This window comes from Homo sapiens, chromosome 12 (assembly GCF_000001405.40).
Source record: "Homo sapiens chromosome 12, GRCh38.p14 Primary Assembly".
NCBI classification, from domain to species: Eukaryota; Metazoa; Chordata; class Mammalia; order Primates; family Hominidae; genus Homo; species Homo sapiens.
In genome coordinates, this window is record NC_000012.12 from 84,875,046 (window position 1) to 84,899,899 (window position 24,854).

Here is a 24,854-nt window from a genome sequence, read left to right on the forward strand (position 1 = left end):
ATAGAATTATTACATATAAGCATTTAAATTCTAAAATATCTAGCTAAATCAAATGTTTAGAATTTTGTCACAAGCAATTGTCAGTTTAGAAAGAGAATATATTCTAGAAATTCACACAGAATTTTGGTTGTCTTGAACTCAGAAAACATTTTCTTCAATATTATACATATAAGTATTTTTGGTCATTAAGTGTGGCCCATTTGTAGCAGATTTAAATTATAGTGTGGCTGAAACTCGTAAATCTTAACTAGTTGTTCACAGAGAAGTTCCAAGAACTCTAAATGTTAAACAGGAATTTTGAAGTAGCTGAGAAAACCAGACACCAGTGTCAGCATTTTTGCTACTACAGAATGAATACCAACTCAGAACCACACACACAAAGAACACAGCTTCTTTTACGCAGTATCAAGGCAGCCGCCAGGAGTGACAAAGAATTCCAGAGAAGCTAATCCCTTATGCCCAAATCTCACAGCACAATGCTGCCTGCACATTCATCCTTCAGATAACTTTTAATTTCTAAACTAATTTTGAAATCGTATCTTTAGACAGTTTCATCTTAATGTCTGCCTATGATAGTATTAGCAAACTAATAGTGGGGTGCACCATATATATATATATATATATATATATATATATATATATATATATATATATGAGAATCAAAAACGTGGTCCCTGTTAAAGCAGTATAAGAAATTATGATTAAGCCCACACTTATGATTAACCAGGTTAAGTGGGCCCACCGTTGAGTTTAGCTCTACAAAGTTGCATGATGGATTATAAGTTCTGAGCCCTTGATGGAGTCTAATGAGAATTTTCCTAAAATATATATGCATCTATAGAAGTTACAGAACTTCACAAGCTGATTACTATAAATATTCTTCCAGAAGCTACAAAACTACAAAACCTCAAAAAAATTAACTAAGAAAAGAAAACACTTATTTTCTCTGAGAGAGTATTTTAGGGCTCTTAATCTTATTTTAGGGTCCATGGATTCTAGATGATCAGTCAACTTCCAGATACACTAAGCAAATTAATATGTTCATTTTTTTTTTTGGGAAAAAAAATCCTCGTCACTTTTTCAAAGGGATCCATGACACAAAAAGGTTAAAAACCACTAAAATAAAGGGGAAAGAGTTAAGGAAGACTGAAAAATTCTGAAGTCTAATCAGTATAAAACTTAGAAATAAATTTATTATAAAAGAGAGATTTTTGAAGTTGAAATAGTGGTAGCCTTACTCTAAAATCAAAATGGGATATAAAAAATGGAGATAAATGGCTATAATTATACATAAAAAATGCTGGTTTTTCCTAGACTGGTTAACAACTATAATTTAAAAGTTTAATGTACATACATTAGAACAATTATTCCTTAAATATAACTTAGAATATTTTAACAATAAACATAATGCTTTCATGATCATAAGCCTTAAATAGAAATATGGTACATACCTTAGGGGTAAACATGTGGCGAATGCCATCAATTGAACCATTTAAAAGGAATGCTCTGATGAGGAAGCAAATAAGTACCACATATGGAAACAGAGAACTAAAATATATGATCTGCAAAGAAATAAAAATAAAAATAAGTGAGATACAATGACCATTTTTTTATAGATAAGATTTTATATGTTAGTTTCTGTACTTTGACAGTCACTGTTTCATGACAGGATTAATAAAACTATTAATAACTTCTAAAGCCATTTTTTAAGAATGGTTTATGAGTCGTGATTCAGCCTTAAGATTTTATTTGAGATACAATTTACATTTAAAACACACTATCTCCTTTGAAAAAATCCATCAGCTATGGTGTAGCTTCAATAGTGTTGATTCCTTATAGTTCATAAAACAAGAAATATTTAAGACAGAAATGAACAGGCACTAACTACCTAATGAATTCCTACTTTTTTGTTGTTGTTCTAAGTAGCAAAATAAAGTCCTATTTCTTTTTCTTTTAACCAAATTTTCATTGTGATTCTGTAAAGCTTTCAATGCAGTATTGTTCCTATGCTGTATCTTCCAGAACCCAAACAATCAAACGTGTAAAGATTTTACTTTCCGCTTCAGCAATTTTCACTGTTAAACAGTTCAGCAAATATTTATAATAGAAAAGGAAGTGTGCTACTCAGACATTCACTGCCTCCTTGACATCTTCCTCTGGAGGCCTAATAGGTCTCTAAAATATTTCAGGTCCAGAGGGAAACTTCTGAATTTCCCTCAAAGCTATTCCCACCCATCTCTATTTCAGAAAATGGCCCCACCCTCCATCCCATTAGTAAAGCCAAACATCTAGAAATGGTTCTGGACTATCCATAATATTCTCCTAACTGAATTGCTGGCTGCCCCTTGGTTTATGTCATACCCTGCTTAAAACACTCCAGGAATTTCTAATGTCGTTGGAGTGAAGTGCTGATTCCACCCTCTGGCCTGCAAAGTCTTACCCTAGAGTGCCTGCTTGCCTGGCCACCACTCTTCCCATGGAGCTCTGGCCACTCAGGCCCTTGCTATCCTGTGAGTCTACCAAGCTCAGCCAGCCTTAAGATGCAGGGCGGCACCTTCCTTCAGAAGCACCTCTTCCTTATTTGCAGATGACTTGCTCCTCCTTACTATTTTAGTCTCATCTTCATCTTCTCCCTGAGGTCTTCCCTGACCACCCAAAATAAGGTGATGCCTTTTTCTATCCTTTCTCTCCCATCTGCCCCCTGCCAACCCTCAGTGATATTACCCTAGGTTTGTTGTTGTTGTTGTTTAGAGCACTTAGCACTTTTCAAATTTTATTTATGTGTTTCTGTGTTTATTTTTTGTATCCTCTAACAGGGTATAAGCTAGTAAGGGTAAAGATATTTTCTGTTTACTACCATATCTCACACACCTAACACAGTTGCTGACATAGTAACTCTATCATATGTATCTGTGGAAGGAAGGAATGGAAGGAGAATTGGAACAATGGAGGAAAAAGTGCCATAGCAGATGATGCTTCCGGGCAGGTAAAAGATACTGAATTCAATAATAACTACAAACAACATTAATATAAGGCAACACAATAAGGGGCACTCTCTAGTTTTACCCACTTAAGAATCATATATAAACACATGGCACACCTTAAGGAAAAAATATGGATAAAATGCCAGCATACTTTAGAACACAATATTTTAAAAATAAATTATATTTTAACTTAATTGGTTGTAATGAACATAATTTTTTAATAATTTCAAATTGGTTTAATCCTTTGATTAATCCTTCACTCAAATTTTTTGATTTTTTAAAAAATCAGAATGCTTTCGGATGGATTTTTTCATTCTCCCTGCGTACTTTTGGCATTCATTAAATTTGGCAGTTGCCTTGATCTCACTTGAATTAAAGTAATCCCCTTTATGATTCTTCTTCAGAAATGTTGTGGCTAGCCAGAAGCATGGATTCACTTTTGAACAATAGCTTCTTTTTATGTTTTTAAACAAAACTCAAATGTACTGCTTTATAAATAATATAATTGACTTCCATTAATTCTGCTTATATAAAAGTGAAAATGAAGATTATACATTATAAAGTCTAGATAGACTGATTATGATTTTATCTAATAAAATATGCTTTTTAATTTTGTTTTAATTTTATATTTTATCTTTATATTTTTAATATAATTTCTAATTAGGTACTAAGAAAAGATTCTTCCTGTACTCATATTATTCGAGGCTAAAATACTCTAATCTACCCTTAGTATGTCCCACTTCCTCAAATCCCATAAACCAACTGATCACCACACCCAGCTAATTCTACCACAGAAATCTCACATCTGTCCCTTTGCTTCACCTCTCAATAGCACAACACCTTTCAGTATGAAAACAGTTTCCTGCTCATCTTGCCTCCAGATTCTGTTAGCTTTCCTCTGCATCCCAGAAATCCATTTTTCACAGTTGCCAGAGCGATCTTTCTAGAAATCTGGTGCTATCACTGAACTATTAAAAATCCTCAAAGGTTCCACACTGTTTGCTAGCTAACAGCCCATCATTTTACAAGAGTCCACAGAGCCTCCAATATCATCAGTCAACTTGCATATCATCCTTCGTCTTCCACAAGCTGCACAAGTTGTATGCAAAAGTCACACAGAAATACTCAGCAGTCGTTGAGCTTTGTACATGCTGTTGTCTGTGCCTACACACAGTTCTCTGTGAACTTGCTGGTGAACTTCTCTTCAACCATCGAACCCTACTCCAAAATTTACATCCCCCGTGAAGCCTTCTTGCAAATCCAGTTTAATTGCAATTGCTGACTCTACACTATCACACACTTTCTTTTTTTTTGGAGACCGAGTCTCACTCTGTCGCCCAGGGTGGAGTGCCGTGGTGCAATCTCGGCTCACTGCAACCACTGCTTCCCGGGTTCAAGTGATTATTTTGCCTCAGCCTCCCGAGTAGCTGGGATTACAGGCACCTGCCACCATGCCCGGACAATTTTTTGTATTTTAGTAGAGACGGAGTTTCACCGTTTTGCCCAGGCTGGTCTCAAACTTGTGAGCTCAGGCAATCCACCCGCCTCGGCCTCCAAAAGTGCTGGGATTACAGGCGTGAGCCACCGCCTGGCCACTATCACACACTTTGTATGTGCTTCTGTTACTCCACTTAGTATGTTCTAATCATCATTACAATATGTTGCAATATGGTTGTACAATAATATAATACTAAAACATATTGCACATTAAGATAAAACTTATAGGAATTTAAGTTTTTCTTCTTGTACACAATTCATTCATTGAATTGTGGGTTCCATGAGGACAGACTGTGGCCTATTACTCTTTGCATATCCATCAGTGCCTGACAAATAGCAGATATTCAAATATATTGTTCATTGAGAGAGGATTTACAGGAATTTGAGTTTTTCTTCCTGCACACAATTCCTAAAATTGCAAGCTTATGGTTATTCTGCAGTATTTTGAAAATTATATTCTAATTATATGTCCAGACATTTCAATTTTCATTTATTAATTCAACAAACATTTAAATTCTTAAGGACACTGATCTGGATTCAGTAAGACTCTAACACAGTTTCCTAATAAGTTACAAGAACATTTCAAGCCTACAAGATGGAGAAAAATAAGTCAATATTTCAAACATTTAAGTGATATTAAGAAGGCAACACATCAATTTTATTCCTCTGTGAGCAGGTAAGAGGACAAAATATTTCATTTTTAAATTCCATGATTTAAAAAGATGTGTCTTAGGAGTCAGCAGGTTACTTAAATATCTGTGTCATTTATAAACACAAATTATTTGCATTCACTCATATGGCTCTAATCTTATTAGACCAAAACAGCCACTTGCATAATATTATTAAAATGAGTTAAATTCAACCTATTCACTGTATTTATACCAACCACTTTCTTCTCTCCATGCGTTACGTCTTATAACTTGAAGTTATTTTATAAATTTGTTTATTGTTTGCTGCCTCTGCCACTAAATGGAAACTCCATGAGGACAGGCACATTGTTTACCTTGTTAGTTGTATTTCCAAAACTAGATCAGTGTCTAGAACATAGTAAGTGCTTAATAAATATTTGCTCAAAATAATAATGAATGGGTGAATGATTATTACACATTGTCCAAGAAGTATACATTTTTAAAACTGGGAAATGATACAAAGAAACATGCTCCTTTGACTGATTTTTAAGACCCCTCCCCCGGGCCTTGACAACTATTATGCCTGTCAAAGCAAGTACGTTAGTAAGAGAGACTATTTTATCTTTCAAAAGATTGTATAAAACATTTTCATTTTACTAAAGTGTTTAAAAAATCGAAAACAAAAACCATTGTTTTACATATGAAAAATGTTTATTATAAACATACCTTCAGAATGTATCATTCTTTTTGAAAATTCTGTAGCCCAGTTTTAGCCCTGTCTATCATGTATTGGTTGCTTAATTCTGGCCAACTATTTATTTTCCCTGAGCTTGTCAACTTTGCAGTAAAATGGGGATAAAATATGCAAATTATCTAGCTGATAGAAAGAATAAACAAGATAATGTATGCATAGTATTTAGCATAGTAGTAGTAACAACAGGAAAGTAGTCAGAGTAGAAAATACTACCTTAGAGTTAAAAGCAAGCTTGGGGCTTCTCATTTCTGTCCTACATATTTGAGACAGTCATCCCCTTAATAGATTCTGTAACTAGGGCACATGCTACCTCTGTGTGACCACCTCCAGTGATGCTGAGCTCTCTACCATTGAGGCAACTGATTTCATTATTATCAAGTTTGATTCTTGAAAGGCCTTTCTTTCTTTGAAGGCTTACCACCATCACAACCTCCTCCATAATACCCACTATTTGATCATAGTTTTGCTCTCTATGGCCACACAAAGCAGCCCTATTCTTCTTTTGGTTTAACTATTTGAAGACTTTGATCACTGAGCTGAAATTTCTCATAATAAAAAGGAAAATACAAGATTTCAGTAAAATCCAGTATTGCAGATGTGGTCCAACTGATATGTGCCTACCTAGCCCAAAGGACAATGTCCCTATCATACCCCTCTTTTAATTCATGCAGTTTCCACTTAGCATTTTGGGGTATATGTATATGCATGTATGACTGTGTGTTTTGACCAAGCACATCACCAGCTGACTCATTCTTCTTTTAGCTGCTAAATCCTCTAAGTTGTTTTTCCATGTGCTAGCCTTAAACAATATTTCTCTCTTCTGTACTTGTGACACTGTTTATTTGGAGGCATTTTCTGTTTAGTAGGTAAACACAAAGCTTAACCTTTAATTCCTCATAAAGTCATTGTTATTATATTTAACTCATTGTTTCAGATTGAGGAATTGTGACAATTTTGGCTTCCACATCTTTGCTCACATTACCTACAGCTAGCTTTCTCCCCATCAGTGCCTGTTAAATTCTTTCTTCAAATATTGCCCAAATACTAGTCTTTTCCTGAGGCATTCTCATTAAAATAATAAATGTATGTACTAAATAAATTGTATTACATTTTCTATATAAATTTACACTACATGACATGAGAAGAACAACCCCAAGATTCTGTGATAAGAAAAGGATGAATAGTTCTTTAAGTGATGCTAAGACACAGACTAAGAAGAAACAGAAACAAAACGTGGTAGTAAGAGAACCTGAGTACAAGAGTTTTTGAGCTTCTCTGGATGACCACAGTTGGTTTTCTTTCTACCAAATGATATTATGTTAGGAATCATATAAATATGGTTAGGTCTTATTTAAGAATCCACTCCTTCATTTATAATGTGACGGGAATGTGGCTCTGACATAGTGGAAGACATACACAATTGAACAATTCGAAGTTATTTAGTCATATAATACAATAACATTGCCAAAGACTTAAAGATATTTAGATGTGTTAACAAGTATATTCACAAATTCAAAAGACAAAATGATACAGAGTTTCCTTCAGGAAGATAAATGTAAAATCAGCTACAATTTACAAGTTAAAAAGTCACTAAAATTTTTAATTAAATATAAAGTAACAGGAAGCAAAGATGAATTAGACAGACTTCTGCCCTAAAAGAGTTGACTAATTGGTGGGACTAGGACGGGGTGAGACATTATAGTGTTGCAGTTAAAGAACATGGGCTCTAGATTTAGACAGACTTGCATTTGACTCCAAATACTAGAACTTAATAGCCACGAAACTTTGGATAAGTTAAACTAATTCCTCAAACCTGTTTATTTTAAATCTGTAAAATGGTTCTGAAAATAAAAATTACTTCTCAAGAGTGGTTTTTATAATTAAATGGGATAAAGTATAAAAAGTAGTTATCACAGTACCCAAAGCAAAATACATTTGTAATAAATAATTGGCTTCAATTACTGTTCTTACCCTAATTCTTGTCAGAAACATCTTTATCATCATTTATTATTATTGTTATTATGACTACTTCTACTATTGCTGCTGCTACTACTACTACTATTGCCATTCCTGCTAGTATATGATGATGAGTGGTAATAAGTTAGCCTGAAATCAGTTATACTTTGAAAAGGAAAATAGCACAGCTGGACAGTTAAACGGCAGAGAGAAGAGCCAACAGTAAATTCTTGCTATGATCCAGCCAAGAGATGTGGAGAGCTTTAGAACAATGGCTGTGATAATGAAAAAAAAAAAAAAAAAGTAATACGAAAGCAAAATAGTGAATAGCAATTACTTTCCTAGAGCGTCCTTTAAAAATAATAACAAACAAGCTACCTAGAATTCACTTAATGTCTTTTTAAACCACAACCATTCTAATTTTCAATTTGCCTTAGAAGGAATGATATTTAGTCTTTTACATTACTCTGAATTCCTTGTTGGAATTATTATTAACTACTTAATGATGTTCAGAGCTTTAAGAAACACTTCACATTACATTATTTCAAAATGTCTTATGCAGCTATTCCTTAGAACACCTACAGCAGAGAGAAACAAATGATATCAAACAAACAAAATGAATGAATTACTCATTTTACCACTTTCCCCAATTTCCATAATTTAACTAATTGGTAATTAGAGAACTGAAACATTAGGACTAATTGAATAAAGGGCAAAAAGAAAGGACTTTTAAGTATTCACAAAAATTTTAAAGATCTTGTTGAAATAAGGAAAGATTATAATTAACCTTAGATTTCACTATAAAACACTGTTTTTATTTGTCTTTTTAAAAATGTAAGCACACTTTTGAAGTGTCACTTTTCACTAATATTTAACTACCTAGAATGAAGTGTTATGTGTGATTTGCCCACAGAAATCTGTAACAGAATTTGAGAGAGGGATGAATCCAGAAATGGTGATTAGCAGAATGAGGAAGGGCTCTAACATACTAACTTTTCCAGAAGACTGAATGCCTTTGATCATAGCCAAGCAAACCATGACCCAGGCAGCCAACAAGCAGATGGTCATCTTCCAGTTTAAGCCCCCACTTTCAGAAATGGAACTTGAAATATTCAGTGCTTCCCTGTACCAGTAATAGGTGGTGGCAGAACTTTGTTCACATTCTGGTTCTACAACTGTAGAAAGAAAAGTAACACACAATTATTTCAGAATATAAAGAGCAATGCGACAATTTCTTTTCCAATAAACCTGTAAGTGAATTCTTAATGCTTCCTAGAAAAGTACTACCATTGTATAGCAGCATGTAAATTCACAATGAACAATAAAAATTCAACTGTGCAACAAACAGAAATGTATCCTGTTAAATATTTCTTATGCAGTCCTGCAGTAAGAATATGTGAACCTCTTATCAAAGTAATTTTTATTTATTTATTTTTATTTTATTTTATTTTTATTTTTGAGACCGAGTTTTGCTCTGTCGCCCAGGCTGGAGTGCAATGGTGCGATCTCGGCTCACTGCAACCTCTGCCTCCCGGATTCAAGTGATTCTCCTGCCTCAGCCTCCCAAGTAGCTGGGATTATAGACACCCGCCACCAAACCGAGCTAATTTTTGTATTTTTAGTAGAGATGTTGTTTCACCACATTGGCCAGACTGTTCTCAAACTCCTGACCTCAGGGGCTCTACCTGCCTCGACCTCCCAAAGTGCTGGGATTACAGGAGTGAGCCACCGCACCCAACCCCTTATCAAAGTAATTTAAACAAATCAGGTTTATCACCCCTACTACCCTTGGAATTATGGGATTGACTCCCTGGGTAAGCATTGTCAAATATGCTAGCTGCTGGCCACATGTTGCTTTAGAAATGGGGCCAATCTAAAGTGACATGGGTTACAAATGTGAAATTTGAACTAGATTTCAGATTCAGTATAAGAAAATTATTGTGAATTATTATATTAATAATGTTTAGAGTAATTATATATTGAAATAGTATTTTTATATAATAGATTAAGTAAAATATTTCATCTATTTCTTTTTACTTTCTTTAAACATGTTTACTTGAAAAATATAAACTATATCTGTGCATTACAATCTATGTTTACTAGACATCACTACTATAGGTGACTGCTCTTTATAATATTTATATTATATTATGGGATTTAAAAAAATGATGGGAAAAGTATGAAACAACAGAACCAAAGACATAAAAGCAACTATTTTCATTCAAATTCTTATTTCTGTCCCCTTTCTGTTAGTTTTAATGAAAATGTAAGGCATCAATCAGGGCATACAAAATAAAGATTATCAAAGTTAATAAGTGAAGGCTTATAATACTTTACCCTAATATCTTAGGGCATAGTAAAGTAACTTGGAAAGAGCTAAAAAAATTAGATGGTCCCAAAAGTCTATCTCTAAGAGTATGTCAATCCTGAATGTGAGCAAAGTCTGTTATAATGATAATTTTGAATGATGTTTCTACATTATTTTAAAAAGAAAAAAATCTTGAAAGCTTGTACCTTTGCCACTCTTATAATGCTTAAATACCAAAACACTGTATTATACATATCTTACAAGTGTGTGAAGCATTTTTCACCAAAGGACACTGATCCCAAGGCAGGGGTTGCTGAAAAGACTGAGAAAAATAAAACAAACTCCAGCCAATGATGACGTTGTAGTAGAGAGCTACAAAATAGCACACCTGCAAAATAAAATGATATCCCATTAAACCTCTCATACCTCTTCCATTAAAAGAATGAGATCAAATGCATAAAATTTTATTTAACATTTTAAAATCCTCTTCATTTTATTATTTATTTGGGACACATTATCTTTTCTAAAAAGTTAATGTCTTTCTCAGGACTTAGAACAGGCATTAACAACATTGAGCTATATTAATATTTATAGTTAATCCATATGCCAGTAACGTTTTCTAAAACATAGTAAAAGAGTTGTTTATTAACACACACTCCAAAGTTTCATTTAAATGTTAATTATATAATTTGAAACCCTATAAAGATTACAGCATACACCAACAAAAGGAAACTTACTACACAACTTGCAAATCCAATCCCGCCCAGTTTAGGGCTTATGTAATTCCATACACCAATGCTGCCTCGCCGAATTCTTTGACCCACAGAGAGTTCCAAGAAAAAAAGGGGAATACCTATTACCATAAGTAGTATTAAATATGGTAAAAGATATGCACCTAAAGAAACAACAACAAAAAATAGATTATATTTTCAATACAGTAGAAAATACACTAGTTCAGTTTATCCCATTAAAGATAATATTTGAATTACTATATAGTGCAATTATGGAGAGCTCTGAAGAAGACACAATTTCATTACTTTGCACTTTCTAGATTCTGAAACTTGAATTTGATTTCTACAAAGAGTTTCTGATAATAAAATAATTAGGATAAAATTAAGAATATTAATGAATAGCTTTAGCTTAAATTTATTTAAAGAGTAAAACAGTTTCATTTTCCATAAAAATAATTGATTATTTAAAATTCATTCTTTTCTGGGGCAGGTTTCACAAACTCCTAGAAATCTTATTCACACAATGTTTATGAACTCATTTATTAAAATTTATACAAACTCATTGAAATAATGCATTCTAAATCAGAAAAATTAGAGTGAATGAGATTTTATGGCATTAACGTTGACTTTTTTTTCCAAATAAAATAACATCATGGAAGAAGAAACGTCTGCTTAGACTGAAAAAGAAAAAAAAAAAACAGCAACATAACTTCTACCAGAGACAAATGTCATTTTTCCCATAAATACTACATAAAAGAAGTACACAAATAGATTTTGTTTTCCAAAATTATCAGAAAAGGTAGTGAGAGTCATTAAGAAATTAAAACATTTAATATCTATTGTAAAAATGTATATGTTATTATCCTTGTAATAAAATTTCCATATTTTAAAAAGTATTTTTTAGTTAAATCACAAATTAAGACATATGACTATGACTAGTGATTTCAAAAGGTACCTAAATAGTTTGACAATGTTAATACAAGATTCTATTAACTGAATTATAAAAAGATGAATGTGAAACCTTTACTCATTTCTTTGTGTCTTTCTTTCCTTTTGGAGACAGGCTCTCACTCTGTCACCCAGGCTGAAGTACAGTGGTGTGATCACTGTTCACTGCATTCTCAAACTACCCAGCTCAAGGGATCTTCCCACCTCAGCCTGTGGAGGTCGTTCCTACATGAGGCTACATGTGCAAATTATTATTAAATGACCTCTTAGCTAAACTTCTTACATTCAATTTTTTAATCTGCAGTTTTGTCCAACTAGATACTGTTAAATGTAATGGTCTTACAATCAATGGTAACTAATTCCTATTTTCTATAAAGAGCCTTTTATTATACATTTCCTACATATTTATCATATGTTTAATGGCACTGAATAGATTTTTGAAGCTATTCGAATCGTCTTAATGGAATATTTAGTGGAACACAAATACATAGTGAGTAACTGTATTCAGCTGAAGCAGTGAAATAATGGATTTTTTCAAATTATTTATCTCAGCATCTGTTTATCTCTGTAATAATGATTATATCCAGGCATTTCCCTACATAGTGGTTGCTACATAATCTGAACCTTTCTATGACTGATTTTCAGTCTTTCATTCTTAGTTGATTCTAACAAAACTACATATACAATGTAAAAATTGGATGCATGAGCTTAGAAAACAAAATTCTAATTCTAAAATGATTAGTAACATTCAGGAACTGCTGACCTGAATGTTTTTCCCAAAGACTGAAAGTGAATTTTAACATCTGCATCAAATCTTAGATTATGAATGGATTTTTTATACGCATGTGAATGAGTAAGAAAAAAGAGAGAGAGAAAGAATTATGACTGAACTCATTAGGGATTTTTTTCCAGTCATGTGTGGGTGACATGCTGTTGGATACTTAGACTTTTCTTCTATCTCAAATTCTTCTATAGAAAACAGTATGAAGAACCCTTAAAGAACTGAAAGTAGATCTACATTCAATCCAGCAAGCCCACTCCTAGATATCTACCCAAAGGAAGAAAAGTTATTATATGAAAAAGATACTTGAGGCTGGGCACGGTGGCTCATGCCTGTAATCTCAGCACTTTGGGAGGCCGAGGCTGGCAGATCGCTTGAGTTCAGGAGTTCGAGACCAGCTTGGGCAACATGGTGAGACGCCCCCCGTCTCTACTAAAAAAATAAAATAAAATACAAAAAACAAAGGAAAAAAAAAAACAGCTGAGCGTGGGCTGCGCGCCTGTGGTCCCAGCTACTCGGAAGGCTGAGGTGGGAAGACTGACTCTTGAGTCCAGAGATGGGGAGAGGTTGCAGTGAGCTGAGATCGCACCACTGCACTCCAGTCTCGGTGACAGAGTGAGACCTTGTCGAAAAAAAAAAAAAAGCCAAAAACAAAAACAAAAAAAAGACACTTACATGCATATGTTTACAGCAGTACAATTCACAATTGCAAAGATGTGGAACCAGCCTAAGTGCCCATCGACTAATGAGTGGATAAAGAAAAGGTGATATTATGCACCACAGAATACTACTCAGCCATAAAAAGGAACAAAATAATGCCCTTCATATTAAATTGAATGGAGCTGGAGGCCATTATTCTAAGTGAAATAACTTAGGAGTAGAAAACCAAAAACTTTATGTTCTCATTTATAAGTAGGAGTTAGGCTGTAAGTATGCAAAGGCATACAGTATGATGTAATGCACTTTAGAGATTCAGAAGGGGAAAATTGGGATGGGGGATACGGTTAAAAAACTACATATTATGTACAATGTATGCTACTTGGGTGAGGGGTACATTAAAATCTCTGAATTCACCACTATATAATTCATTTATGTAACAAAAATCCACTTCTACTCCAAAATCTATTGAAATAATTTTTCTTTTAAGCGTGGCACGTTGGCATGCTGGATACCTTGAACTAAAGGAAATTGGAAGGACCTCGGAAGCCAAGGCTTCCTGGCCTTTTTCTTTACTCCTGTCTCCCACTCTTTTTTTGTCCCTGAAGCAAGTCACAGACACAAGATTTCTTCCCCTCAAGGTGGGTCATAGAAACTAGAATGCCTCTTCCCCAAAGCAAGCCACAAAACCTAGAAAGGTCATCTTCTCCCTTCTCCCTTGAAGATCCTCATTCCGGAGACGTCCTGTTTCATATCCAGGAGGAAGGAATGCCACTCAGAGAGGCCAAGAAAAATCTGAACAGACAGGACTTGCTGGGTTTGCTTCCTTTAGTCTATTCTCACTAGATCTACCCTTTTGTCCAATCACATTTCTATATGGCTGCCTATACTTCAGGTAATCTAAGCATAAAAACAGTTGCCTGGGCGCGGTGGCTCATGCCTGTAGTCCCAGCACTTTGGGAGGCCGAGGCAGACGGATCATGAGGTCAGGAGATCAAGACCATCCTGGCTAACACGGTGAAACCCTGTCTCTACCAAAAATACAAAAAATTAGCTGGGCGCGGTGGCGGGCGCCTGCAGTCCCAGCTACTCCGGAGGCTGAGGCAGGAGAATGGCATGAACCCGGGAGGCGGAGCTTGCAGTGAGCAGACAGAGATTGCGCCACTGAACTCCAGGCTGGGCAAAAGAGCAAGACTCGGTCTCAGAAAAAAATAAAAATAAAAATAAAAATAAAAATAAAAATAAAAAAAACAGTTTTCCCTGAGTCTTTGGGTCTTCATTTCTGAAAGTTCCCATGTCATGAAAGACTACGATTTAATAAATGTGTTACGCTTTAAATACATATATTTGAACATGTACTATTTGCCAGCCATATTTCTAAGCACATTACCTGTAGCTATTAATGTATCCCTTATAAGAATCCTTGGAGATAGATAAAATTATTAACCCTATTTTACAGGGTGGAAACTAAGCCTGAACAAATGAGGTAGCCTGTGAAAGGTCACATGGGTAGTGTGTAAAAGAACCAGGCTTCAAACAGTGAAATTGACTTCAAAACCTGATCTGGAAGTCTCTATACTATACCACCTACTTCGCCTAACCATTGTGTTTTAAAAGGATAATATCACTAGGCAAATAAACTTTATATTGACTCTATTACCTTTTTTTTCTATTACTCAAAAAGTGCTTAAGTGATTCATGAATAAGATTTTGATAGCCTGAGGCAGAGGACTATCTTCTGGTTGTTTAGTCAGAAGATATTCCTCCAACAATTAGAAGACTCAATGCCATACTGAATGGTGAGTACAATCTTTGGTACTGTAACAACCATTCTAAAGTGAAAAATCGGTTGGTATTTTATAATATGTACACTACTGCTTTCTAGTATTTCCATTTAGTAGAAAAGAAATAATACTAGAAAAGATATTTTGACTTTTTTAATATATGGAAATAAGAAGGAGGAGCCATTTGTGCTAAGAACCAATTACTACATATAAAATCTTTTAGCACTCTCCAGCAAGACAGAAATTGTACTAAATGGAAGTCAACCTGACTTTTCAGCCAAATCAGCTATCCTCCTTAATAGTGTGGTCAATACGACTTACAAGGCAAAAAAGTCTTAAAACCAGAATTGATATTCTGCTAGTCTTGGCAAATGGAATGATTTGTGAGAAACAAAAAGCAGGATAGTACATAGTTGCTTACAGCTGATTTAATAAATAATTCATGTGTGAGGTTACTGGCTAGCTAAGGAGATTTTCAGTATAGGGATGCACAGTGCGTCACTGACTCTACGTTCGATCTTTACCTCTAAGGCAGATTTGCCAAATGGACTACTTTTTCCAAACCTTTTGTTTTGTGCCTGTTTGAATTAACTAAAAGATATCTTAAACATATTTTGTCACCATAACATCTTAGAGTTTCATGTTTCAGTGGCCAGGAAAAAATTTACATACGCATGGGTTTTATTATTTTATTTGATGTAGGGTTTGTAGATTACAACCACATTAAAAATAAACCATATTTTTGTCCAGTCAATAAAATTATCACAAACTAGAATCAAATACCAAAATATTCTTTATATACTTTGTGTCCTGAAATGCATGACTTATGGAATATTTTATTTTCAGCCACACTTATTTTAACAGCATGTACGTGTACATAAATAATAATATTTCATATACATAGATAATAACATTTCAATCCAATGTTAGTTAAATTAAATTCAGTTTGGTTTTGGTGTACTATAGAATTAGCATCATATGTAAACAATTTTCCCCTTTGTAAAGTTTTTTCCCTAGACTTCTAAGATAATTTTGCTAAGTAAGCCTTTATAAGTACAAATGTAAATATTAATAGCAAGAATAGCAATGATGTTGCAGATAATTTTGTTTAAAATTAAGGTTGCTAATTTCTTTAAAGTTGTCTTTGAAATGGAACATTGTTCCAAAATACCCCCATAGAACTGGAAAGGAAATGCATAAAATGCCTAAGAATGAAGAATGTCTAGCATTGTATTATCTGTTTACATTCCTTCTGCTGGGATCTAAATGTTCTCATCAGCATTTGAAGATTATAATTATTCTAAGTTACATATCATTTTGTATTTTTTGAAGAATGAGGCAACTTAAAATTAAGAATTAATAAATCACGGAGAGAAAATTCTCTGTTTTCCTTCACCAGTATTGTCATATATCAGAAGCTTTAGGTTATTCTTCAAAGGGAATAATTTACAAGCACAAACGATGCAAGAAAAGTTTCACTCAGTTATTCAGAGTTGTTTAATAAGCTTCCGGAGAAAGAAGTTGAGAATGTGTTACCCTTAAGCAATCCCTGAGCATTCACAGCAAGCCCATCTGCTCCTGTGGAAACGTAATCTGAAAACATATCTGGGCTCACTTCCCACAAAGAAGTGGGTTTCTCTAGCTTTACAATGAAATTGAAAGTTTCAAAAATAATGAGAAACAGCAATAATAGGAGCTATTTGAGAAACCCAATTGCAATTTACTACAGTAATTTATCACTTAAAAAGATTACTTACCGCCCCCATTCTTCTGACATAGGTATGGAAATCGCCACACATTTCCTAAACCTACAGAAAATCCAACTTGGGCCAGGATGTATTGTAGTTTACTGTTCCAAGCTGGTCTTTCATCTTCGACTTCAGATCCTTCTTCAACATCTGTATCTTTCTCTTCCTGGCCATCAACAATTAGTTCACTTGTCTTAAAAGCATCATCAGCTGCGTCTTCATTGGAAAGAAGGTCTTTGACAGACTCAGTAACATCATCATCTAATTCTCTTTTTACCACCTTGCTATTTTTGGGCATTGGAGAGTATGCGAAGTATTTAAAAAAAAAAAAAAAAACTCCCTTATGGCAAATGTGTTAACTCTATTTTTCAAAACAATGTTACTTGATAGGAAGTAAAGACCGAGGATGATATCAAATAAATCCTTGATTCAAGGTGATAAAGCCTTATGGATTCTGAATCCGTATGTCCAGTATTCTGTAGGTACCTGTAAAATTATAAGTTGAAATGTGATCATATTTAATGATGAAAAAATTTAAATACAGAATTATTCTTTTTTATTTTTATGATAGAAACCCTTTCTACAGAGTATAAAACATGTAACTGTCTTTAGCATTTCAGAGCTTAATATTCCCGTAAGTATAAGAATTTTAAAGCACTTATGAGCTTCAAATACAATTTTCTTAGCTAACATCCTCCTTCTTGCAAAAATCTCAGATACACTCCAATGCATAATGAATATTCTGTTCATTAGTAACTAAACTTTTAGGACTCTTTTTCTTAATTCTTTATTTTTTCCTCCCTGACTAAAGCAGATATTTTCTTATATATCCCTGATTTTGTTCCTTGTGGAATTATAAACACAATTGCAAACCAACGCTGTAAATTTGTCTCATATATAATCTCTTCTGTTCAAACATTCGTCATTCACTCATTTGATATTAATTGTTCTTCTCAAAAATTTAACCTAGTTTATTTTATTTTATTTTTGGAGACAGGGTCCCACTCTGTCACCCAGGCTGGAGTGCTGTGGCAAAATCAGGACTCACTGCAGCCTGTACCTCTCCCAGAGATCCTCTTGCCTCAGTCCCAGAAGTAGCTGGGACTACAGGTGTGTACCACCACACCCAGCTAATTTTATTTTTCTTTTCTTTGTAGAGATGAAGTCTCACTATGTTGCCTAGGCAGATCTCGAACTTCTGGGTTCAAGGGATCCCGCCTTGGCCTCCCAAAGTGCTGGGATTATATTGCATAAGTGATCTCACCCAACCCATTTGATATTTATTGTGATGAGGCTTTATGGGATACAATAATCAATGAAACGTACAAAGCATGTTTTTAAGGATCTTATATTTAATAGAGAGAAAGGTACATCAAATAACAATTCTGTAGTGCAGAATTTAAATGACCCAACATTATTACAACAGGAAAGATCAGGAATGTTGGATAAAATTAGAGTTGAGCATAAATGGAGTGAGGTCATACCCAATCATAAGGAAAAGTATAAATGAGACAAGAAATGCTCAAAATGTACATTATATATGTGATCAGTCTCTTAACAGCTCAGGAAAAACACTGTAATCCCTTTGGGATTTTTTTTTTCCTTTCTTTATTTGTATGTTACGTCTCCTATCCTTTTCCCCACTCAGACACAGACCAAGTAAATATATAAGACATGTCTACAGTCCAGCGACACTATGTTAAAATGTGACTGAAAAATATGACTGCTTCTCTTCAAATCTGAATTAGGAAGTTTATGAAATGGTAGCCCAAGAATTCCGCCCTTCATTTCTGGAATAAAATAGAATTTATTAAGAGAACTGCTATTAGATTGACATTAAAAGTCAAAGAAAACAGCTATCATATTTCAATCTATAATCTTAATGAGCAAGACAAAGTGTTGGGTAACCCAGTGGAAAAAAAATTACTTAACTTACTATGTAACTAATTTGTTGCCTTTAGGTTGGGATGATGTTTAGTTGTTTTAAAATTAAAATATATACCCTAAGAGCAAACACTTCTCGTTTAGGATTTGGTGAAGATTAAGAGAAAACTGTTTAGAAAATTGTGAAAGAGATGCATTCCCAAAATATTTTGAGTGATAGACACATCTCCAGAATAGGTGTAAAACTTCCCACAGTGATTATTTTAAACTGATAAGAACAGATACTACACTTGATCTTAGCAAAAAGGCCGAGAAGCGATCACAGTGACTATTTCACAGAGGCCAACAAAGTTTTGATATGGAAATAATTCATGAGGTTTGACATTTTGTCTGTTTAATTTATATTATTTTCCCCTACAGCTCAGTAAATATTAGTTGAATACATTAATAAATATAGCCATTGAAAAACTGAAATAAACAAATTTCTAGATGGTATTTGCTGGAAGAAAACAACCTGACATATAAAAAATTGTGATTTGTAAGACATGAATTATCCAGAAAAAAGATTTACATTTATTAAATTATCTGAAGATAAAATGTGTTGGCATAGTAGCAAGTGATATATGGATAAGAGCATGGATTTTAGTCTGACAAATTTGGAGTTGTGTCCTAGCACTATAACTTATTAATTGTGTAAATGCTGATAGTTATGCCTCTCTTAACCTCAGTTCCCACAATAAACTTTGGTTTCTTATTCCTTTTGCTTTTTCCATACAGACAGAAAAGTAAGGAGTGTATCCAAGCTTAGAGATACTATTATAGTAAAAACACTCAACATTTTACAAAGAAAAAAAATTTTAAATAGTGTGAACCATGAATCTCCCCCAAATTTTTACGGAAAATACTATATCTCTTCTATACATTTATATTCTTTGGACAAAAAATACACACACAAAAATCAAAATAAAAGGTAATACCTTTGGCTACTACTGCATGTTTTTTACACACCAAGTGAATAATCCTCACCAATTTACATAAGTTATCCTTTGGCAAAGTTTACACTCAAATATTCTGATCAAACTACCTGAAGGTCATATTTTCTATTTTAAAAAATCAGTATCTAATGTAAACAAATTTTAAATGTAATATTATATCATAAACACTTTGAATATAAATAAATATATACTACAGATATCGTATAACAACTCTAGCCAAACTTTATAAAATAAAATACTTATTAAAAAGGGAGTTGAAGTGGGTATTTGCATGCATTAAAAGCTCCTTTTCTCATATGAGCAAAAAACTATAATGAATCCTTAATGATATTATAAATAAAATTATCTAAGCTCTCTTTTCTTACTATTTTTCTTACCCTGTCCCACTTCTTGGTCTGTCTGGGGTGGTTGTAGGAAGATAGGGGAAGAATTGTAATTAACATTAAAATATTCACAATAACATGTAAGTCTGGGAGAAAATAAGTTATTGCCTTGAGAATGACATTGTTTATCTTACTCACCCCCATATTACCAATGTTTAAACTTGTCTGTTGAATGAATGAACCGAAAGGTTTAAAGAATAAGATCATATAACTAAACAAGTATTTTGCACTTAGATGTTTTCATTTTTGTTTGTATTTTTTTTTTTTTTTTTTTTTTTTTTTTGAGATGGAGTCTCACTCTGTCCCCCAGGCTGGAGTGCAGTGGCATGATCTCGGCTCACCACAACCTCTGCCTCCCGAGTTCAAGCAATTCTCTGCCTCAGCCTCTTGGGTAGCTGGGATTACAGGCACCCGTCCCCATGCCCGGCTAATTTTTGTATTTTTAGTAGAGACGAGGTTTCACCTTCTTGGTCAGGCTGGTCTTGAACTCCTGACCTCGTGATCCACCCACCTCGGCCTCCCAAAGTGCTAGGATTACAAGCGTGAGCCACCATGACCAGTTTGTTTGTATTTTTACTTTAAGACCATGCACCCACTGAACATAAGAATTGACTTCTTGTGCACAGTTTTCATACAGCCAAAAGTAAATAGATAAATTTAGTTTCTGAAGAGATTTATTAAAACTAAGTATAGCAACAATAATTTAGAAGCCAGATCAATTTCACATTTTTAAGAGTAACTTTCTTGAAGGATAACCATTTTTATAAATTCTAAAAGCCCGCCTAAAAACTTAGTCCATAAATGTAGTCCATAAACATAGACAAAAAAGAAAATCAAAAGAGAGGTTGGCAATTGCCAAAAATGTATTACAATTGTTACATCTGAGAATAGAAGAAGAAATGAAGAGAAATGTCCAGGAAGAGAGATAGAGTGATAAAGTATCAGTGCTCGATAGGTCATATGGACAGTAGTGGAATCAGTATCAAGTAACAGCACAATCTCTGCCAACTTAGCAGCATCCATTCTTGTGATAGACAATCAACTAAGGAACAAGCTATCACTCACTGCACTTCATCTGCACCGAAGAGTTGTAATACTTGTCCTCATCATTATTTGGTAAGAGCCTCCTGTCTACAACTGTACAATAGAGCAGGAGTCAACAAAATATTGCTCATGGGCCAAATACAACCCACCATCTGTATTTTGTAAAAAAGATTGTATTGGCATGTATCCATGCCCATAAAATATTGCTCATGGACCAAATACAACCCACCATCTGTATTTTGTAAAAAAAAAAAAGATTGTGTTGGCACGTATCCATGCCCGTAGATTTACATTTTGTTATGGCTGATTTTGTGCTACAACAACAGAGTTATTGTTATGGACCGTAAAGCCTAAAATGTTTACTAACTCTTCACTGAAAACATTTGCCAACCTCTCTTTCAGAGAATAAATCTAAATTGAAAATGTGGAGTTCCCCAGCTCACTCAATTTGTATGGCACTACTTCCCATGTCAAAAAATATTCCAATATAGAAATTTCCCTATTGAAAATGCGTAGTTCCAAATAATGAAAAATATGTGTATGGAAATGGAAAGATAGAGGTGATAGTGGACACAGGAAGAAACATAAGCAAAAGACATATACAGAATATAAATATACACCAGGAAACAATGTGCTTCAGAGTTACAAAGAAAACATTTATTTAAAATAAATTTCATGGAAGTGAACTAAAAGATTAACTGAAAGAAAAAGGTAAGTGGATGAACACAAGAAATGGGAGAATTCATCAGAGGACTAAAAGTCACATTAGAAGCAACTGAAGGCCAGGTGTGGTGGCTCACGCCTGTAAACCCAGCACTTTGGGAGCACTAGGCGGGTGGATCACTTGAGGCCAGGAGTTCGAGGCCATACTGGCCAATATGGTGAAATTCCCTCTCCCCTAAAAAAATACAAAAATTAGCTGGGTGTGGTGGCAGGTGCCTGTAATCCCAGATACTCAGGAGGCTGGGGCAGGAGAATCATTTGAACTGGGGAGGCAGAGTTTGCAGGCAGCGGTTGCAGAGATCATACCACTGCATTCCAGCCTGAGTGACGGAGCAAGACCGTGTCTCAAATAAAATAAATAAAATAAAATAAAATAAAGAAAAAGAAACAACAGAAACTAGAATAAACACTACTGAAACTATATCTGAGGCATGGAGGACAGATGTAAAGAAAGTTCACAAAAAAGAAATGAAAAGTTACAAATATCTTAAAGTAATTTAGAAGAAAGCTAATGAAAACTGAAGTCAGCTAAAGGTAATCCAACAAACTTCTAATTGGTATAGCCAAACACAATAATACAATTAATAAAACACAAAATACTAAAAGAAAAGCAGAGGTTTTGCTTGAAGACTTGTATTTGCAAATAATAACAATACAGAAGAGTAAACACTGATAAATTACCAAGATAAGAATTCCTAGGGATTTCAAGCAGAAGTAGAAAGATCAAATTAAAACACTTCTCATAATATCTATTAATAGATGAAATTAAAACACTTCTCATAATATTCATTAATTTCAATAAAACTAAGAGAAAAATATATGATCTCCAATTTTATACCCAATTAATTTGTATTCCGATTATAAAAGCCACAGGCAAATATTCCTAAGCATAAGAGAAATGATGAGCCCTATGGGATGAAGGAGTGGGGTATGGAGGGAAAGACTACATAATCATAAAATTTAGCCAAACAGAGAAAACAAAGTAAAAGATCTTAGTAAAGAGGAGCCATGTTGAAGAATAGAAGTGAACATTAATTTAAACAAGGAAATATGGTTTACTTTTTATAGAAATTATGTGCAGGGGACAATTGTGAATTAAATTACCAAAAAAAATCAAAAATTGAAATGAGAGGAGAAAAAGAAATAAAAGTGTGAAAATATGCTCATCTTTCATGTAGGAAGTAATAGATACTGTGTAAATATGACTTGGTTGGGCACAGTGGCTCATGCCTATAATCCCAGCACTGGGAGGCTGAGATGGGCAGATCACTTGATGCCAGGAGTTCAAGACCAGCCTGGCCAACATGGTGAAACCCCATCTCTACCAAAAACTACAAAAATTAGCCAGGCCTGGTGGCATGCACCTTTAGTCCCAGCTACTTGGTTGGCTGAGGCACAAGAATCACTTGAGCCAGGAGGTGGATGTTGCAGTGAGCTGAGATTGTACCACTGCACTCCAGCCTGGGTGACAGAGTGAGATCTGTCTTAAAAAACAAACAAACAAACAAAAAACAACTTATTATATAAAAGAGGATAATGACCTCAAGCTCTTCAGGTTTTCATATAATCTTTCTTATTTGATTGTAATGTGACATTATAAGAATCAATACGTTTTGATGTGAAAAGACATGTATTGGTCCCAAATATTTATACATAGATTTTAGAAAGAGACTATCTGAGTTCAAATTGTAACTCTGTCACTTATGATTTTATGACCCTGGCCAAGTTATTAAACTGTGCTTCAGTTTCTTCATTTATAAAATGAGAACAATAATATACTTATCTACTGATAAAGTACATAAGTCAATGTCAGCACACTGAGAGGACTCAATATATTCTCTCTTTTATTACTATGATTATCACAACACTAAGACTATAATATAACTGATTTGTTGTAGATGCTTCTGTAATATTAAGGACAATGTTAGGTCCAGAGCCAATGCTGCATGTTTAATTTTCTCCTTAACACAACTTTTTGTTTGTCTCAGTTATCCATGGCTGCACATCAAATCTCCTTTATATTTAGTGGCTTTGAAAAACAATTTAATTCTTTCATGATTCTCTGAATTAGCAGTGTGAACTAGGCTTACATGATCAGTTGTTCTTGAATTCGGTCCTGCACTGCAGTGATCTGTCAGTTCCAAGAAGGTGTTCTAATATGGTCTAACTGACATTCTAGCAAAAGTCAGGCTGTCAGCTGGAGCACTTTGGTTTGCTTATAAGTAATCTCTCCAAAATACTAGCTGCAACTTGTTCATATTGTAGCTCAGATTTCCAACTGTAGCCAAAAAGAAAAGGTGAGCCCAATGTACAAGTGCTACTAGAGCCTCTCTCTATTTCACATTGGCTAATGCCTCATTGACCAAAGAAAGTCTCAAACCTAAGTCCATACTGATTCAAGAGTAGAGATAAACCTTACTTTTTGATGGAAGGGACAAAAAACCCTACTGCAAAAGGCATGCGTAGAAAGGAAAAAAAAATACTGCCACTATCTTTGAAAAAATTCAGCATTTGCTTAGTTTCCACCTCCCTGGAGTTTTAATCTTGAGGAGAGGCACAAAGTGATAAAAAAGTAGGCATGTCATCCAATTCCATCAAAGGCATTATGCCCAGGCTGTAAATACTACCGTAGTCATGGACATTGGTTCCTAGTTTTCAGAACTATTTTCATTCTTTCCTTTTTCCATTTCATTGCCAAGCATCCCATTGTTTCTTTGAGCTCCTGTGACTGCCAATATTACTTTTCTTTGCCTCTTATCCAGCATCACTTTCTAAAGCTTGCAAAGAACCCCAAATGGCTTACAAATTATGAATCAAAAACTACTGCTATATTTCCATTCATCTATCTATGTATATGAACATAAATACACAAATATGTTGGGAACTTTACAGTATTTAAATTTGAACTTATATTTACCTCTTTCTCAATCTCTCATTTTTTGTATCGCTTTAGTTATCTTCATATATTTTTCAAAATAAATCTATTTTGAAGCACTTAAAAGTAGATCCAAAATTTTTAAAATCATGATAATAAATTTCCAACTCAGT

The 24,854-nt window shown here is 34.2% G+C and overlaps 1 protein-coding gene and 1 pseudogene across 4 annotated transcripts in view; both read right to left on the reverse strand.

The window, feature by feature from the left end:
- SLC6A15 (solute carrier family 6 member 15) overlaps positions 1-24,854 on the reverse strand; it is a 53,309-nt gene that overhangs the window by 15,555 nt on the left and 12,900 nt on the right. For 2 of the 4 annotated variants that reach the window (NM_182767.6, XM_011538525.4), the window contains exons 2-6: positions 16,787-17,263; positions 10,866-11,023; positions 10,390-10,516; positions 8,814-8,995; positions 1,452-1,562 (exon numbers count right to left, since the gene is read on the reverse strand). In NM_182767.6, the coding sequence (NP_877499.1) occupies positions 1,452-1,562; positions 8,814-8,995; positions 10,390-10,516; positions 10,866-11,023; positions 16,787-17,075 (867 nt within the window). In that variant the 5' untranslated portion in view covers positions 17,076-17,263. Of the gene's footprint in view, positions 1-1,451; positions 1,563-5,802; positions 8,996-10,389; positions 10,517-10,865; positions 11,024-16,786; positions 17,264-24,854 lie in introns of those variants that run through there. The other 2 variants (NM_001146335.3, NM_018057.7) reach the window with 2 other exon arrangements.
- On the reverse strand, positions 18,828-18,981 carry LOC124903121 (uncharacterized; annotated as a pseudogene).